Source organism: Homo sapiens, chromosome 9, assembly GCF_000001405.40.
Source record: "Homo sapiens chromosome 9, GRCh38.p14 Primary Assembly".
Classification (NCBI taxonomy): Eukaryota; Metazoa; Chordata; class Mammalia; order Primates; family Hominidae; genus Homo; species Homo sapiens.
The window spans coordinates 106607659-106626727 of NC_000009.12; the positions used below are offsets into that span (position 1 = coordinate 106607659).

The window sequence follows — 19069 nt, forward strand, 5'->3', positions numbered from 1 at the left end:
AATATACATTCTTCTTAGCACCACATCACACTTATTCCAAAATTGACCACATAGTTGGAAGTAAAGCACTGCTCAGCAAATGTAAAAGAACAGAAATTATAACAAACTGTCTCTCAGACCACAGTGCAATCAAACTAGAACTCAGGATTAAGAAACTCACTCAAAACCGTTCAACCGCATGGGAACTGAACAACCTGCTCCTGAATGACTACTGGGTACGTAACGAAATGAAGGCAGAAATAAAGATGTTCTTTGAAACCAATGAAAACAAAGACACAACATACCAGAACCTCTGGGACACATTTAAAGTAGTGTGTAGACGGAAATTTATAGCATTAAATGCCCGCAAGAGAAAGCAAGAAAGATCTAAAGTTGTCACCCTAACATCACCATTAAAAGAACTAGAGAAGCAAGAGCAAACACATTCAAAAGCTAGCAGAAGGCAAGAAATAACTAAGATCAGAGCAGAACTGAAGGAGACAGAGACACCCTTCAAAAAATCAATGAATCCAGGAGCTGGTTTTTTGAAAAGATCAACAAAATTGATAGACCGCTGGCAAGATTAATAAAGAAGAAAAGAGAGAAGAATCAAATAGATGCAATAAAAAATGATAAAAGGGAGATCACCACCAATCCCACAGAAATACAAACTACCATCAGAGAATACTATAAACACCTCTACACAAATAAACTAGAAAATCTAGAAGAAATGGATAAATTCATCAACACATACATGGTCCCAAGACTAAACTAGGAAGAAGTTGAATCCCTGAATAGACCAATAACAGGCTCTGAAATTGAGGCAATAATTAATAGCCTACCAACCAAAAAAAGTCCAGGACTAGACGGATTCACAGCAGAATTCTACCAGAGGTACAAGGAGGAGCTGGTACCATTCCTTCTGAAACTATCCTAATCAACAGAAAAACAGGGAATCTTCCCTAACTCATTTTATGAAGCCAGCATCATCCTGATACCAAAGCCTGGCAGAGACACAACAGAAAAGAGAATTTTAGACCAATAACCCTGATGAACATCAGTGCAGAAATCCTCAATAAAATACTGGCAAACCGAATCCAGCAGCACATCAAAAAGCTTATCCACTATGATCAAGTGGGCTTCATCCCTGGGATGCAAAGCTGGTTCAACATATGCAAATCAATAAATGTAATCCAGTATATAAACAGAACCAAAGACAAAAACCACATGATTATCTCAATAGATGCAGAAAAGGCCTTTGACAAAATTCAACAACCCTTCAGGCTAAAAACTCTCAATAAATTAGGTGTTGATGGGACGTATCTCAAAATAATAAGAGCTATTTATGAAAAACCCACAGTGAATATCATACTGAATGAGCAAAAACTGGAAGCATTCCCTTTGAAAACTGGCACAAGACAGGGATGCTCTCTCTCACCACTCCTATTCAACATAGTGTTGGAAGTTTTAGCCAGGGCAATCAAGCAGGAGAAAGAAATAAAGGGTATTCAATTAGGAAAAGAGGAAGTCAAATTTTCCCTGTTTGCAGATGACATGATTGTGTATTTGGAAAACCCCATCATCTCAGCCCAAAATCTCTTTAGGCTGATAAGCAACTTCAGCAAAGTCTCAGGATACAAACTCAATGTGCAAAACTCACAAGCATTCTTATACACCAATAACAGACAAACAGAGAGCCAAATCATGAGTGAACTCCCATTCACAACTGCTTCAAAGAGAATAAAATACCTAGGAATCCAACTTACAAGGGATGTGAAGGACCTCTTCAAGGAGAACTACAAACCATTGCTCAATGAAATAAAAGAGGACACAAACAAATGGAAGAACATTCCATGCTCATGGATAGGAAGAATCAATATGGTGAAAATGGCCATACTGCCCAAGGTAATTTATAGATTCAATGCCATCCCCATCAAGCTACCAATGACTTTCTTCATAGAATTGGAAAAAACTACTTTAAAGTTCACATGGAACCAAAATAGAGCCCTCATTGCCAAGACAATCCTAAGCCAAAAAAACAAAGCTGGAGGCATCATGCTACCTGACTTCAAACTATGCTACAAGGCTACAGTAACCAAAACAGCATGATACTGTTACCAAAACAGAGATATAGATCAATGGAATAGAACAGAGCCCTCACAAATAATACCACACATCTACAACCATCTGATCTTTGACAAACCTGACAAAAACAAGAAATGGGGAAAGGATTCCTTATTTAACAAACGGTGCTGGGAAAACTGGCTAGCCATATGTAGAAAGCTGAAACTGGATCCCTTCCTTACACCTTATACAAAAATTAATTCAAGATGGATTAAAGACTTATGTGTTAGACCTAAAACCATAAAAACCCTAGAAGAAAACCTAGGCAATACCACTCAGGACATAGGCATGGGCAAGGACTTCATATCTAAAACACCAAAAGCAATGGCAACAAAAGCCAAAATTGACAAATGGGATCTAATTAAACTAAAGAGCTTCTGCACAGCAAAAGAAACTAACATCAGAGTGAACAGGCAACTTACAGAATGGGAGAAAATTTTTGCAGTCTACTCATCTGACAAAAGGCTAATATCCAGAATCTACAAAGAAATCAAACAAATTTACAAGAAAAAAACAAACAACCCCATCAACAAGTGGGCGAAGGATATGAACAGACACTTCTCAAAAGAAGACATTTATGCAGCCAAAAGACACATGAAAAAATGCTCACCATCACTGGCCATCAGAGAAATGCAAATCAAAACCACAATGAGATACCATCTCACACCAGTTAGAATGGCGATCATTAAAAAGTCAGGAAACAGCAGGTGCTGGAGAGGATGTGGAGAAATAGGAACACTTTTACACTGTTGGTGGGACTGTAAACTAGTTCAACCATTGTGGAAGTCAGTGTGGCGATTCCTCAGGGATCTAGAACTAGAAATACCATTTGACCCAGCCATCCCATTACTGGGTGTATACCCAAAGGATTATAAATCATGCTGCTATAAAGAAACATGCACACGTATGTTTACTGCGGCACTATTCACAATAGCAAAGACTTGGAACCAACCCAAATGTCCATCAATGATAGGCTGGATTAAGAAAATGTGGCACATATACACCATGGAATACTATGCAGCCAGCCATAAAAAAGGATGAGTTCATGTCCTTTGTAGGGACATGGATGAAGCTGGAAACCATCATTCTCAGCAAACTATTGCAAGGACAAAAAACCAAACACCACATGTTCTCACTCATAGGTGGGAATTGAACAAAGAGAACACTTGGACACAGGATGGGGAACATCACACACCAGGGCCTGTCGTGGGGTGGGGGGATGGGGGAGGGATAGCATTAGGAGATATACCTAATTTAAAAGACGAGTTAATGGGTGCAGCACACCAACATGGCACATGTATACATATGTAATAAACCTGCACATTGTGCACATGTACCCTAGAACTTAAAGTATAAAAAAAAAAAAGAATGAGATGACAGAAGACTATTTCAGTCTTCTATCTACCCTATTTCAGGGTAGTAGCCACAAAAAAAAAAAAAAAAAAAAAAAAAGGAGATAAAGGGGTGAGTGGATGGATGGACAAATAAATGGAGAGATAGATGGGCAAATAAATAAACACGAAGATGGATAACAAAATGGATATATGGAAAGTCAAATAATGAGTGGATGATTGCAAGAGGTGTGGAGGTAAGCTCAACACATGAAAGAACTGGAAGAAGGAGGAATTAAATATAACATCTGGTGCTGGAACATCTAGTAAAATCTGACAGCGTTAATGAAGAAAAACACAAGAAGAAAGAACAAGTTGCTAAAAAAGGGGAGGAAGAAGTCAGTTCTGTGACACAGAATAAAAAATTTTTATGGGAATTATCGCTGAAACATTGCTAAATGTGAATATGCTTGAGCACTGGATGATTTGCATAGACAGAGTAGCCTCTTTTTCCCAGAGGTAGGTTCTCCTGCTGGGTATGGACAGACAAACTGGCTGGCCCTCAGCTTGCATGGAAAAATTTGAGCCAAGATGGTCACAGAAGTCACCATCCTGCTCACATCTGGATTCCGATGGAAGCAGTCAATTAGTGAAAAAAAAATTGGGACATAAATTATTCAAATGTTTGGCAAGCAAAAGAACAGGTTGTTTCTCCTTATAAACTCTGTGTTAGAGCCGTGTGAAAACAGATCACCCATAAAGAATGCTTTCTGAGGATTCTGGGGGTGTCTTTCAGTTGGTAAGAATGTTCATTCATATTTGAGGTCCAGTTCCAATGTAAGCTCCTGTCTGAAACCTTCCTCATCTGTATGGACTTGACTGGGTCAACTTAGTTCAAGTAGACTTATGCCTCCTAGAATTTCCTTTCCTACATTGTTTCAAGTTAGCATGGGTCATAGGAGACATTTTGCATGAGTTTTGGAAGGTTGAATTAAAGCAGAAGCCGTAGTTAGTTCACACTCAGAGGGTCAATGAAGGAACACCAGGTGCTATTGTAAACCATGTCCATTGCTACTTATCTGCTTGCAAACCTTGTTGGTCTGGGCCAACAGCCAGACCAGCAGCAATTCCACCTCCCAATGGATCCTTCTTCAGTTTTTTTAACTCCTGGCTTGCATGTGAATTTAGTGCATGAAGAGACACCACTTCTTCAGGACTCAAACATTACTAAAGTTAGAGGCTGGAAGACAATGAGAAACTGAGGCAGATTCTAGGCCATTCTCCATCTTTGCAGGCTCCAGTTCATCCTTGCTCTCCCACACTTCATATCAACTTCCTTGCCCAACTCTCTGTCCTGCTGACTTCAGGCTCCAGAACTAGTAGTGGCAAGGAAGGTCACTAGTTTGCAAACTATGACCTGCAGAGCAAACCCAACCCACTGCCTGTTTTTGTAAATGCAATTTTATTGGCACGTAGCCAGACCCATGTGTTTATTAATTGCTTGGGGCTGCTTCTGTGCTACAGAGATCATATGTCTTCCAAAGCCTAAAATATTTATTATCTGCTCCTTTAAAGAAAAGGTTTGCCAAATCTGAGCAAAGACAATAACCATACACAGACTGTTAAACCAACTTCCACAATCATGTAAGGTCAAATCCCTAAATGTGCATGTGCATATATATGTATGTACATTCACGTGTGTGTGTATATATGTATGTACATTCACGTGTGTATATATGTATATTATATATACATGAATGTTTGTATGCATGCATATATGTATATGTTTGTGAATATACATATATTTATCAGTTTCATTTCTCTGATCAAACCTTGATTATCACCCAATCTCTACTCCATTAATATTTGGAAACCAAGAAAACTGAATGCCTCCTTCTCTGTTGCCACAGTGTTTTGCTATTAGAGCACTTGCCATATTGAATTATAATCGGTTTGTATCTCTATTTGTGTCTCTTTTACTAAATAATGAAATCTTAGAAGTGCCCTTTCTCCAATGATAGTAAAAAAGAATAACTGAATAAGGAAATGACTAAGCAATGAGTGAATGAATAAATGTAGAAAAAGACAAATAGATGTTTTTCTTTCCTTCGTTTGGCCTTTCTAGCTTTTGTGCATCCCCATGGCCACATACCAGCACACAGAGCCAGAGTTTGGCAGACTAATGTTTAACTCTGGGCAGCTCCAACTGGGCTACCCTCTGCCTTGATGCTGGTGCAGCCTGCTCAGCATGAGGGACCGTGGAGTCCCTTTCCAGGTTGTATTGTGCTCTATGCCTTGACAGAAACCAAGGCCAGCTTTGGGTAGGCAGTGCTCCACTTTGACAGAGGTGCGGTTGCTGCAGATGGCCTTAAATACCTCCAGTGGCTGTGGCCCTCTGCCAAGGCTGCTGTAGGAGCTGGCAGGTGCTTGAAAGGGGCCTCTGGCATTTGGAAAGCACCTGGACTTTGTCAAGCATTTTCATTCTCATGGACTTAGTTGGAATTTATGAGGGCAAAGGACTTAGAGAAGAACTCAGTGAGAACTGGGGTTCCTCCACAACCTTGGTCAAGTCACGTAAACTGTTTGTGTTTCAGTTTCTCTACCAGCCAAGCTCTGAAGTGCTATGATTTTGTGATTAAGAACTCAGCATCAGACTGATGGCTTGTGGCTCCTACTTATAGAGGTTTTCTGTTCCCCATGTTGCCTCTTAAAAAGAGGCCTCTTCCAGAGGTTGCAGTGAGCCAAGATCGCACCACTGAACTCCAGCCTGGGCGACAAGAGTGCGACTCTGTCTCAAAAAAAAAAAAAACAAAAAGCAAAACAAAACCAAAAAAAAAAAAAACAAAAACAGGCCTCTTCAGAGAGGAGAATGGGTAAGAGGTACCTAATAAACTGGAATTTACTATACTGAAAGATATTTTAAATAAAAATGAGTGTAACTAGCATTTACTGAGAACTTACGTGCCAAAATCTCCACTCAGCATTTTAAGTGCATTACCTTAAGGAAATTAGGATTGGTTGCTACTGCCTTTAGAAGCTGGTGTGTGGTGTGTGTGTATGTCTTAGAATATTCTCCATATGGAGCAGCAACAGTCAATTCAAACAGTGTGTTAAATTGTTTTCACTGTTCTAGGTCATATGTGCCTTTTCTGCATGTGTGCATGCATGTCTCCAGTATTCGTTTTTAATAGCAAAAAGAATCACACTACGGTGTATTGAGTACCTGCCATGTGCCAGGCACTATGCCAAGCTCTCTACCTTCATATGATTGCATTTAATCTTCTAACAACCTAACATAATGGGTATTATTCCTATGTTACTGTAGAAGAAACTAGGGATCAGAGAAGCTAAGTAATTCACATGAAGTCACACAGCCAGGAAGTGACATCCTAAATTCAAACTCAAGTCTGTTTGACTCAAAAGCAATGTTATTTCTCCTACATTGAGCTGCATCCCATTGCAGTGTGCCTGGAAAAGGTCAGAATATCCTGCTGATATGAACATGCCCCTAAATGCCTCAGTGCTAATCCTATGAGTGAGACCTTTGTGAGCATCTTAATAGGTAGATCTGTGGCTACAACCCATAGCCAGACATTTCAAGAATGGTATTAATTGTCTACAACACAAGAGAAAGATTATTTATCGTCAAAGCTGTGCGGGACTTGGGGAGCAGCACTCATGTTCTTCCAGGTAAGGACACTGAACCTAGAGAAGTGAGCTGCTTGGCCAAGTTCACCCGGAGTTAGAGCTTAAATCTAGGTTTCTCTGTCAGCTCATCTTTCTACTCCACTGCCACTTCCTCCCTTGCACTTCTGCCTTCCTCAGAAATTTTAATTGAGCATGTGAATGTGAGAGTTGGGGGGTGTGTGTGTGTGTGTGTGTGTGTGTGTGTGTGTATGTGTGGGTGACAGAAAAAAAAAGATTGCAGGAGAGTGCTGACAGGGAGGAGACCAGGTTGGGAAAGAAAGGCAGAAAGACTAGTATATTTTAAAGCCAGATGTTGCATTTTTAATGGCAGTACAAGAAAGGCAACATCTTGATGGCTTCTCATGATAGATTGAAGCAGAAGCCAGCCTTCCAGTGCTTTTCTGAGGCTTTCTGTCACAGCTTTGCAAAACCTAGAATTGAAAAAACCAATTAATGAATGCCCTGGTGCTTTGGAGGTAGCAAAGACAAAGCAATTGTGTCACAGGGAGCTGAAGCTAGGGCTGCCACTTCATTTCCTTTCCCATGGGAAATCGGAGCATTACCAGCTTTGAGGAGCCTCTGTGATCCTCCGAGTCTGTCTCTCTGCCCCCTGTCTTCTGAATGCATTTAGAATCTAATGATTCTTCTCCTGGCATGAATTGAAGTGATCCACTCCACACACCCCGACTCCAGTCAGCAAGGATTTGTCAGTGAACCCCAAAAACGGTAGGCAGCAAGAGCATAGGATACAGGAAGATACCAGGGTGCCCCAGATTCTAACCCTTCAATATAATAAATAACATGTGAGATGGGGCTGGGAGTGGGCAGGGAAAAGATGCATCATTCACTTTCATCGAGGTCACCATGCCCTTCTCTGCTCTTTTCAGAGAAAAGCTTTTCTTTATACATGCACGCCACACTCACTCACACATGCACACTCCCTGCAAGAAGCCATCAGAGCATTTTGGTCATCTATAGGCCACTCAGCTTCTTCAGAGTTGAGTAAGATTAAAAAAGCCTGACATCTCCAATATTCCTCAGCAACGGTTTATGTACCTGCATAAGCAGATGAAAAAAGGGCTTGGGGATGTATTAAAAAACATGCATGTATATGATGGATGGGGAGAGAGAGCACGCAAGAATCTGATACAGATTAATGGCTCTCTGTATTTTTGGAGTCTTTTTGTTTCAGGCCTATGGTTGTGGCGTATTGGAAGGGTTCTGGAATTTTAGAACACAAAGTAGCAGTTTTAAATAATGAGAGAAGATTCCACATGGAACGCTCATCTGGCTGTGGCAGCCTGTGACTGAATGAGAGAAAAGTGCCCTAGAAGCTATTCATTACGAATTCACTGGAAGCTCTCAAACGAGGCTGGCAGAAGCTGAAATTGAAGTGGTCTCTGACCTAATTTTCTTCTGCATGAAACATCTGCATCAAGGCTCTCTTTGATGTATTCCACTTGGCTCTGTCTACGGGATTGTATCACATGGACTCGGTGTTGCCTCCTTATTGAAAGACATTTCCAGCCTTTGCAAGGTAATGCGATGTTACTGTTACCCAAGCTAATCACTCAATGTGCTCCTAAAATAGAAACAATAGCAGTTCAGAGACAATGTTGTCTGCTGGCTGTTCCTGCAGCTTGGGCTCCTGGTTTTCCAACTGAAATCTGTGGCATTTGCCTCCTGTAATTCCAAAACAAAGGAGAGGGAGAAGAAGGGCAAAGCTATGCAAGATAATGTTGAAGGACCAGCAGCATTATGTGTGAGAAGCTTCATCTTATTTGGTCCTTCAAGCCATTGGGTAGGATTTTGGCACCATTTAAACCACACAGAGCAATACCATAAGAGGTCTGCCTTAAGAAAGAAAAAAAATCTCTTTATTTGGATGTTGCTTTTATTCCAAATTCTGATTGACACCCTCCACTGAGAGAGAGAGAGAGAGAGAGAGAGAGAGAGAGAGAGAGAGAGAGAGAGGTGTGTACTGAATGTTGAGTGTTTTGTGATTCTTTAGTGATCTATGAACTACTTTTAAAAATTGTCTTTCCCCTCTTAAGCTCTCCCAACCTAGGTGGAATGCAGGAGTGAATTTTAAAAGGAATAATGATAATAATCTTTTTTAAAAGCAACTGTAATGAGGCATCTTCTTTATCCTGGCAGAATAGCTCTTGCCTTTCTCCATAAAGGTTTGCTGCACCGTCTTCGTTAATGGTGTGCTGCTGTTCCCCACCATCCCAGCATTATGTGAATAACGGTGGTGTCTTTTGTGTCCCACCCCCTGAAGAAGAAACCTTTGAAATTCTAAATGACTGTGCTGCAGGTTTTAATGTCTGCTTCTGAGAAAGAATTGAGAAATGCGCACTCACTGAGCAAGATGCAGCATGCCTTTGAAAAGCCTTTTCGCCTGACTCCTCTGTCCCACGAATTTAGATGAATATACATTCTTGTAGATGCCCCCTAGTTCTCGTTATGCCAGGAGAGAATGACAGATGTGATCAACAGCCTCCTTTTGCCCAAATATTGATACTCCCATGGACAAATATGTAGTCATTCCTTTCCTTTCTGTGCTTTCTAATCAAACAAAGCAATCAGATATGAAGCATTTGGGGGCAGTAGAATCTCTGAGGTCAGTGGTGATCTGGTTCTCCAACAAGAAGAGACTATGGGTGCACATTGACCTGCTTGTTATGAACCTTCACAGAAGACCCAGGGAAGGTGTTAAGAGTTGGGGCCACGAGGTGGGCATCTTTAATCATCCTCAAGAATTAAAGCAGATATTCCCCTCCTCCAGGATGTCTTCCCTCATTATCCTCATTGTACTGGGGCCTTTCAGGTATGCAACATGACAGAACAACTGTGTTCTCCTCAATCAAAGCACTGAGAATTGTGTATGGTCTGTCTTCTCTAACAGCCTGCGCTGTCTGGAAGGCAGACACTATTTCTTATCTTTGCAGTCACAATGTCCACCACAAATAGGCTGACCAACTCATCTGAATTTGCCCAGCACTTTTCTGGTTTTAGCACAGAAAGTCCAGTGTCCTGGAATTTCCCCTCATTACTGGACAAACCACTGGGTACATATTAAGTGCTCAGTAAATGTGTTAAATGAATTAATATGAAAAATATTGGCCGGGCGCGGTGGCTCACACCTGAAATCCCAGCACTTTGGGAGGCCGAGGCAGGAGGATCACCTGAGGTCAGGAGTTTCAGGCCAGCCTGGCCAACATGGCAAAACCCTGTCTCTACTAAAAATACAAAATTAGCCGGGCATGGTGGCGCATGACTATAATTCCAGCTACTCAGGAGGCTGAGGCAGGAGAATTGCTTGAACCAGGGAGTTGGAGGTTGCAGTGAGCCGAGATCGCACCACTGCACTCCAGCCTGGTGACAGAGCAAGACTCTGTCTAAAAAAAAATAAATAAATAAATAAATAAAAATATTATATCACCTTTATTCCGTGAATAATAAACTCTAGTGTTAGTTTTAAGAAACCTTCATTACCCATGTTGTCTCTCCAGCCATAAGGTTCAAACCTCAACAGAGCCCAGATCTCCCAGTTGTCACACTCACTCAACAAGCAACAGACCTGCTAAGTCCTACAGTCACAGACTCAGAGTCCTGGACTAAGAAGAGAACTTGATGCTGCCTGATGCAAAATGCTGTTCTACGTTCTGACTTCCTTGAGTATTATAAACAAAAAGGAGTTATCTTATCACAAAGGCATGAGTGATAAGGTACAGGGGTGTGAAGAGACAGGAGAGAGAAAGAGACTGTGAAAAGAAGAGGAGAGAAGAAAGACAAAACTCAGATCACTTTTGCTCAGGTCTTTTGGGGATCCAAGGCTTAACACAGCTTGCAAGGCCTCCGTTTTTCTGTCCCAGCCCTGCTTTCTGCTCTGATCTCCAATCATTGCTCCCACGTTCAGTGATTCCTGCTCCAGCCACAGAAGCCTCCCTGCTACTCCTCCAACTGAGAAGCAGGCTACTTCTTGGTCCTTGTACTAAGTACTCCCTGAGTTGGAATGTTTTTCCCCGAGATAGCCATGGAACTTGCACCCTGTATTCATTCAGTCCCTGGCTCAGAGCGCCTTACCTTAATACCCTGTAAACATGAGCCCTGTCCATCTCTGTTCATCCTCTGACCCTGCTTTAATTGTCTTCACAGCCCTTATCACCAGCAGACACATTATAGATTTGTTTATTTTCTATCTAGAGCAATACTAATAGAACATTTTATGGTAGAGGCAACACTCTATATCTGTACTTTTCAATACGGCAGCTAGTAGACGTATGGTGGCCACAAAAGTACTTAAAACTCAAGTATTTGAGTACTTGAGATCACCTAGTGAAATTGATGAAATGCATTTTTAATTTTAAAACTTTTCTTAATTTAATTTAAATTTACATAGCCACTTGTAGCTAGTGGCTACCATTTGGACCTTGTGGTTATAGATGAATCTTGAAAGCAGTTTTTTTCTACTTTGCTTTTTGACATACTTCTTATGAGCAGTTCCTGGTATATAAAGGGCTTTCAATAAATGTTTTTAAATAAACTTATGATTCTAGGCATGAAACAGGCATCTGTGGCTGGGGAACAACCCAAGGAGTCAGACTAATTCTGGATTCCAATCAACCCACGTCATGAGAGGACCCTTCAGACATAGAGTCATCAAAGGGATGTTCTCTGGCCAAATTTCATCATCTCCCTAAACCTCATTTTCTTATGTGTTCAATAGGAATATTTACTTACAGTATCTAAGAGATCTGTCAGTGACTTGATGTTCAACACACTTAGTTCTGTAGTGACACCAAAATCCTATGTGTGAGCACATGGCTATATATATAGGAAAGCACTCCGAAGAACGCTAATTTGTGATATTCTTGCCAGTGATTACTATTTTGGAGGAGGGGGATAATTTATTTGCATTATAAAATAATTCTTTGCCTAACAAAAGAATCTATAACAGGATTCTCTCAAAATAGCTAACTCCACGACGCATTTCAATTAAGAATATATTCTGACAAGTCCAGGGTCCTTGCAATTTATTGCACAATGCAAGGCTTACCTGTATTTTCAAGAATGCATGAGGATGTTCCTTTGACTTGCCTGTGTTCTCATAACATCTCTTTTTCTAGGATTTGGTTTGACTTATTAGTTGCAATCTTGGAAGGGTATAGCATTCATTCCTTTTATTGGTTCGACAAGTATTTATTAAATTCAATGTAGTGCCAACCACTCTTCTTGACACAGGGAATACTTTCACATAATGAAAAATTGAAAAAGATAATCCACGTAAAGCTTTTGAAATAGTACCCAACACTCACTAAGCATTCCATAAATATTAGTTGTTGTTTTTCTTGCTGGTGTTATTATATAGAACTTACAGTCTAGTGGAGGTAAGAGACAAAAAGCAAACATACATATGATCAGAATTATCTCTAATACAAAGTGCTATGGCAAATATAAAACAAGTTATAACCTGTAGCCTTAGGAACAGCACCTGAGATCTGAACCCAGATGGTCCTGCGTTCAGCCATTGGGTAGTGAGATTTCTGATTCCAATTACAAAAGTAGTAACATTACATTTCTGGAATTTTGTTGAGTCTGCCTCCTGCGGGCTTTTATAAAAGTGTAGTCAGACCACTTAAAAGAACAGAGAGCTATGATTTCATCTTGCTAGATGAACTATTTTTTAACCTACCAGCTAATAAATATGGTATATTAGTAAATGTCTGTAGACATGGCCTAAAAAAAAATGAGCTAAATTAAGTGATCAAGAGTTCCTGGAGCAGAAGCCACTTTACATCAGTCAAGGAAGGCTGCTGCTAGGAGGAGGTGCTCTCTCAATAGAAGGAGCCAGATCCAGTCGGAAGGGGCACAGGGTAAATTCCACGTAGGAGCATTTACTGAGTAACTGCTTGGTGCAAACATAACACCGACGGCAATGGAAAGACAAGAAGGAGGGGAAGACAAGTATCTGCCTTCAAGAACGTTACAGTTTGCAGAAGAGTTGAAATGAGTCCACTAATGCTAAAGAAGGTAGAGGCTGTAGGAGAAAGCCTGAAAACACTGAGCTGGAATGGAGAAAGGATCTCGCTTCCCCATCTCACTTGGCTGCCTACTTTTTTTCATCTTGCTGCTTCTTCTCCCTTCCCCCTGCAACAATGCCAGAGTTTGCCCTTAGCCTCCCCAAGGACAATAGAGAAGCAGCCCTTGATGAGGCTGGAGGATCCTCCTGTCTGCCTCCCAGCACACACTTGCCTTGCTTTGACTTTGCTCTATGGAAAATAAATCACAGACACTCAATTCCCAGTCACCGTCCCCAGGGAGCTGAGACCTCACCTCCTCCCTGGAGCCTGCCTGTAACAGGGGATTGTCAGGTACAAAGAGAAAACCTTCAGAGACCCACACCCCATTTGGAGAGCGAAGAGGGTCAATGGGAATAATTGCTAGCAGTTGAATGTGAGCGATTGTAGAGGGATTGGAAGGAAAAGGTTTCAGGAAGGGAAGAAAGAAAAGAAGGGGGGAAAAAAGCCCTCACCCCCCCACCCCCCCCAACCTCCATAGTCTGTGCACAGAGAACTGCATGGTGGTCTGGGTCCTTGTAGAACATTTGTGTGCCGGACAATAGCACAGCCCGGCTTCAGATCATCAGCTGCTGTTTTCTGGTTAGCTCTCCCTTTATGTGAGTGCACAATGCAAGCCTTCAGTCACAGTGACTCTTGAGAAATACATCTGGTTTTTTCTTTCAGACGCTCTGAAAAGGTCAGCCTGTTCGTTTCTTAGACGCGAGACACCACAGATTTTTTTTTCTCCCTCTGAACTGGAAAGACAGACCTACACCTTTTCTTGCCTCCTGGTACATAATTAGACATGGTGCGGCTCTAGAAGCCAGCTAGCCCATCCTCGGCACTCTTTCAGAGACGTGTCGCCCAGCTTCGTGGCTGCCGAACTTCTGCTCTGATCACAAAGGCTCCAAACAGTCCTTCTTCCCCAGCCCAACACCCTGGGGTTCTCTGCTTGTTGTTTTGTTAATTATGACAATGACTCCCCACAGCCTGCTACCCAAACATGGTTCATGACCGATGATGCTGTCCCTGGCAGAGGGAAGACTTGAGAATTTCTGGAGGAAAAAAAAAAACAAAACCCAACAATAACAACAACAAAACCCCACATTTTAATCATTTTCACTCCAGTGATGGTAAAGATTCTTCATGCACACTGTAACATAATAATAAATGTGCCCATGAGGAAAGAATGATCAGCAGCTGGTGTCTGACAAATTATCTCATTCCAGACAGGCAAACAGTCCACAGTGGGGAGAGGCTGGAGCCTGAAGAGGCAATTTGGCACACGATTGGGGTTTACCTCTCAGATGATGGAGGTTCAAATGGCCCACTGCGTCTGGGCCTGGGCCTCCGAGGTTTTCTCTGGCTCTCCTATTCTCCCATCACCTCCTGGAGCTCCTGACAGCCATAGAAAGAGGGATTATTCTCTGGGCTTAGCCAGCCCACCTCTTGGCCCTCCTCCAGGGCACTCATATTCCAGCCATAAGAAGCAATTACAGTCCACTCCCCGCCAGGAGTCGTGCTCTTTCATGCGTGGTACGTGCTGTTTCCTCTCCTCATAATGCCGTGGCGCCCACAGCGCACTCCTATTCTGTGTTCAAAACCCACCTAGATTCCTTCTCTCCTTTTGCTAACGAGTGTTAGTCACTCTCTCTTCCGGAAGCTTCTAGCACCTTTTCTTAGTACTTTTATTACCCCACTTTGTAGCTATTTGTTTTCTGTGGACTTTCTGATGGCAGCTACCATGTGTTTCTAATGAACCTTGAGTGTAAGGTACAATCCTGAGTGTTTTTCTTCTATTAGCTTGTTTAATCCTCCTGACCCGAACAGGGAGGAACTCTTCCCATTTTACCATGAGGAAACTGAGGATTAATTTATTTTGCACCACGGCCCCCACATGATCCCTGAAGCGGTGAGGTGGAGGTAGAAAAGCACAACTTCACCTCTGCTCCTGTCTCCTAGCAGCTGGTGGGCTTACTGGCTTCTCAAGGTTCATCCCCATGTAACATGAAACACCCTGTACCTGCTTTGCCGGATGGCTGTTATGAGGTTTCAAGGTAATATGCTTTGTCTATGTTGTTCTTATCATAGGCCTTGTCTGTGACTTTATTTTTGATAACTATTTTTAATGTCAGTTTCCTTCCAGAATGGAAACTCCCGGAGGGTAAGGACATTGCCTGCCTTGTTTGCACCTATAGTCTCAGTTCCTAGAACACTGCTTGTCACCTGTAGGAGCTCCATACATTTTTTTTTTAATTGAGATAGTCTTGCTCTATCACCCGGGTTGGGGTGCAGTGGTGCCATCTCAGCTCACTTCAACCTCCGCCTCCGAGGTTCAAGCAATTCTCCTGCCTCAGCCTTCCGAGTAGCTGGGATTACAGGCATGTGCCACCACGCCCGGCTAATTTTTGTATTTTTAGTAGAGACAGGGTTTCACCATGTTGGCCAGGCTGGTCTCAAACTCCTGACTTCAAGTGATCGTTTGCCTCGGCCTCCCAAAATGCTGGGATTACAGGTGTGAGCCACTAGGCCCAGCCAGTGCTTCATACATTTTTTGATGAATGAATTGAGCAATATTAAGATAATAACAGTCTTATTTTTAACCTGGGTCCCAACACAGCCCACATCCTGTAAAATAAAGCTCTGGGATAAGATAGCACACACTGAGAGCTAAAAACATTTTAGCAATTATTCCTTGGGTTTCTGACTTAGAGGAACCAACCCAAAGCCCTCCTGAGTATTATTTCCCCTGCTCAGAGTTCCTGTTGGTATGAGCGGCAACATCACATAACATTCCCATCATTGTGGGAGAAAATTGAAGTTGCTGGCATCTGTCTCTTAACATAGCCTTTTAGAAGTGGGTCTAAGAAGTGGCTATTCGGCAGCTATGACTTGCATCTCTACTATGTGTGCTAGGCAATTACAGAAAGTGAGAAAATTGTCCCGTGTGTGAGTATGTAGACCATGTCTCACCCATCCAATCTCCATGTGAGCACAATACAATTATCCTCATTTTACAGATAAGTAAAACTAAGTCTCGGAATGACTATACAACCTGCCCAAGATCTCACAGCTTTCAAGGCAGAGATCGGAAACTCAATTGCCTGTAATACAAATAAGAAACTTGAATACTAAGGTCAGAACATGATATGAATTCTGTGAAAAACTGTCCAATGGGCCTGGCATGGTGACTCATGCCTGTAATCCCAGTGTTTTGGGAAGCTGAGGCAGGCAGATCCCTTGAGCCTAGGAGTTGGAGACCAGCCTGGGCAACATGGCAAAAACCTGTCTCTACAAAAAAAAAAAATTTTTTTTTTAATTAGGCGGCTGTGGTGGCACATGCCTGTAGTTCCTGCTACTCAGGAGGCTGAGGTGAGAGGATTGTGTGAGCCCTGAAGGTTCAGTGAGTTGTAATCGTACCACTGCACTCCAGCCTGGGTGACAGAATGAGAACCTATCTCATAAACAAACAAACAAACAGACAAAAAAAAAAAACCCTATGAAATGGAAAGTTGGCAAATCTCAGTAATTTATGTTGATGAGCATAATTAGAAAACCTTATGTTTGTATCTGTACCTTTGAAAAACAGAACAAAGCAGAAAAATAATAGGTTGTAGACATCTTCAATGGTCAGTACAAACAAGGGTTTGCTCATAGTTGAATCAGGCAACTGTAATACATATGCTTACAGCAAGTACCTAGAGATGGGGACTAGCCCCTACCTGGAGTATTCCCCCTGTTAAACCTATAAGGAAAATATATATCTCGGTTGAGTATCTCTAGAGAGAATCTAAAAGAATTTAGTCTCTTATGTTGTATCTCACAGTTGAGAGCTGAGATCTGGCTTTTCGGTTTCATTCTGTAATAGCTTCCTTTAGTTTGTGTTTATGTTAGACATATAAAAGACTCACAGTCATCTATTCTCTCCCAGGTTTAAAAATGGCCACATCTTCCACTCTCATATTGCAATTTGGAAACAGTGAAGACTAAAGACCAAGAAGAGAATAGTTTCTGGTATTAGATTGCTTGATTAGTTTAAAACAAATATTATTATATTTTTAACTAAAAACCCAAGGGAACTCATCTTGGTCTATAGCCACAATCACTGTAAATAGTAACTCTAGGACACAGAAGGAGTAGTTGAAATCCTCACTAAATCCCCTCTATTGGAGTAAACCGCACTTACATGGTTACCCTGATGGCTTGATGTGTGCATTTCCTTTTGGAATGCTGGGTTTGCAAAGATCTTATTTAAATTCAGACTCTTTTTTACACTGGGTCTTGAAAAATTGGGATTTCTTTTAACTGGACAGGAATGTTAATAGGCCCTGAAGCATCTCTTGCTTAGATGGGCCTGGTTGAAGCCACATTCTGTAAGAGGGACAGCTCACTTTTTTCAGACACTCCGGTCTGTGGAATTTTATCTGAGGTAGAACCAAGTTGAGATGGAGAGCCATGGGAATACCCGAAGAGAGTCCTTGAAGTGGAGCTTAATGAAGCCTGCAAAAGGATTCACTGAGCATCACAGAAGGCCTGGTCTGTGCAGAACTAATTAGTTTGTTAAGTATAACCTGTTGTATTCAATGTACGCAGTGCCTTATGTGATACACAGATAACAATGGGTTTTTCATGAGAACTTTCCATTCTTCGTCTAAAACTAAAAATATCCTTAGACAAACATGGCAAAAGAGGAAAAAGTCTCTGGCTGGCCTGGCCTGGATTTCCCACATACAACTTCCTCACCAAGTGGTTGTTTCTGTTACCATGGGCTACTAACATTGGCCTGTTTCCTCTGGTTCCAACTACAGTTGCTCAAAGTTCACTTGGAGTATCTAGATTTCATCAACAATAATCTTAAGACACTTTTCTCCCTCAAATACTCTCCAATGTTGTCTAGACTGGGTATATTGATTATTATTCTGGATAGGATTTCTCTTTCTGTTTGGTCCTAATTACAACTCTGAAACTAATCTAGTTCTGTTCTATAGAAATATAATGAGAACTGCAAATATAAACCACATACGTATTTCAAATTTTCTAGTAGCTACATTAAAAAGAAAGGTAAAATTAATTTAATAATATATTTTGTGGAACTATATATAGTATCAAACATATTATATCAGCATGTAATCAATACACAAAAATCATTAATGGGATGTTTTACATTCTTTTTTCCCTGTCAGACTAAGTTTCCAAAATCTGGTGTATATTTCATACTTACAGCACATCCGAATCTGGACTGGTCACATTACATGTGCCCAAAAGCCACATGTCACTAGTGGCTACCAAATTGAACAGCACAGCACAAATCTGTTCTAGGGGCCTTGGGTTCTCACCAACTGCTTGTGGTAACAGAGAGATTTTCATGTTGCTCACATTTCAGTGGGATATATAACTTCCTGATTCGGATCAACCTGAAAATAACTCCCTACTTGCCCACCAAGGAGATGCCCCATGACAATGCCTGTCGATTAAACTCCACAGCTTTGTTCACCCCAACTTCCTTGCATTATTCTTGTTTAATCACTGCATTTGTAATTGCCATGTTGAAGACAGTAATGCAAAAAGTATTTCCAATTTCATAGCTTTGACTGCATCATATTGTGTTGTTGTTGTTTGTTTTTACTTAAGTGGGGTAAGAATGTCAGGATAAAAGCTTTCTTTTACTTTACTGTTTCACCTCACTATTTTCTTTTCCTCTTTCTTTGTTTCCTGTGTGTTGAAGATGTTGTCACCTTCCTTATTCCATGGTTTATGGAGTTTCATGCCTTCTCTTCTTTCTGGAGGTCTTTGCATGCAGAATGTCGAGTAGATCATGTCTGAGGTCCCTTTCAGCCCCTCTGGAGCCTGCTTCCTGTCCACAAGTAGGGTAAGAGAAGAGAG

At 41.4% G+C, this 19069-nt stretch overlaps 1 long non-coding RNA gene across 1 annotated transcript in view; it reads left to right on the plus strand.

Annotated features, from left to right (window-relative positions):
• Positions 1-8399: 8399 nt before the first annotated feature.
• LINC01505 (long intergenic non-protein coding RNA 1505) overlaps positions 8400-19069 on the plus strand; it is a 63745-nt gene continuing 53075 nt past the window's right edge. The window contains exon 1 of the long non-coding RNA NR_104145.1: positions 8400-8658. This is a non-coding gene — a long non-coding RNA (long intergenic non-protein coding RNA 1505). The remainder of the gene's footprint in view (positions 8659-19069) is intronic.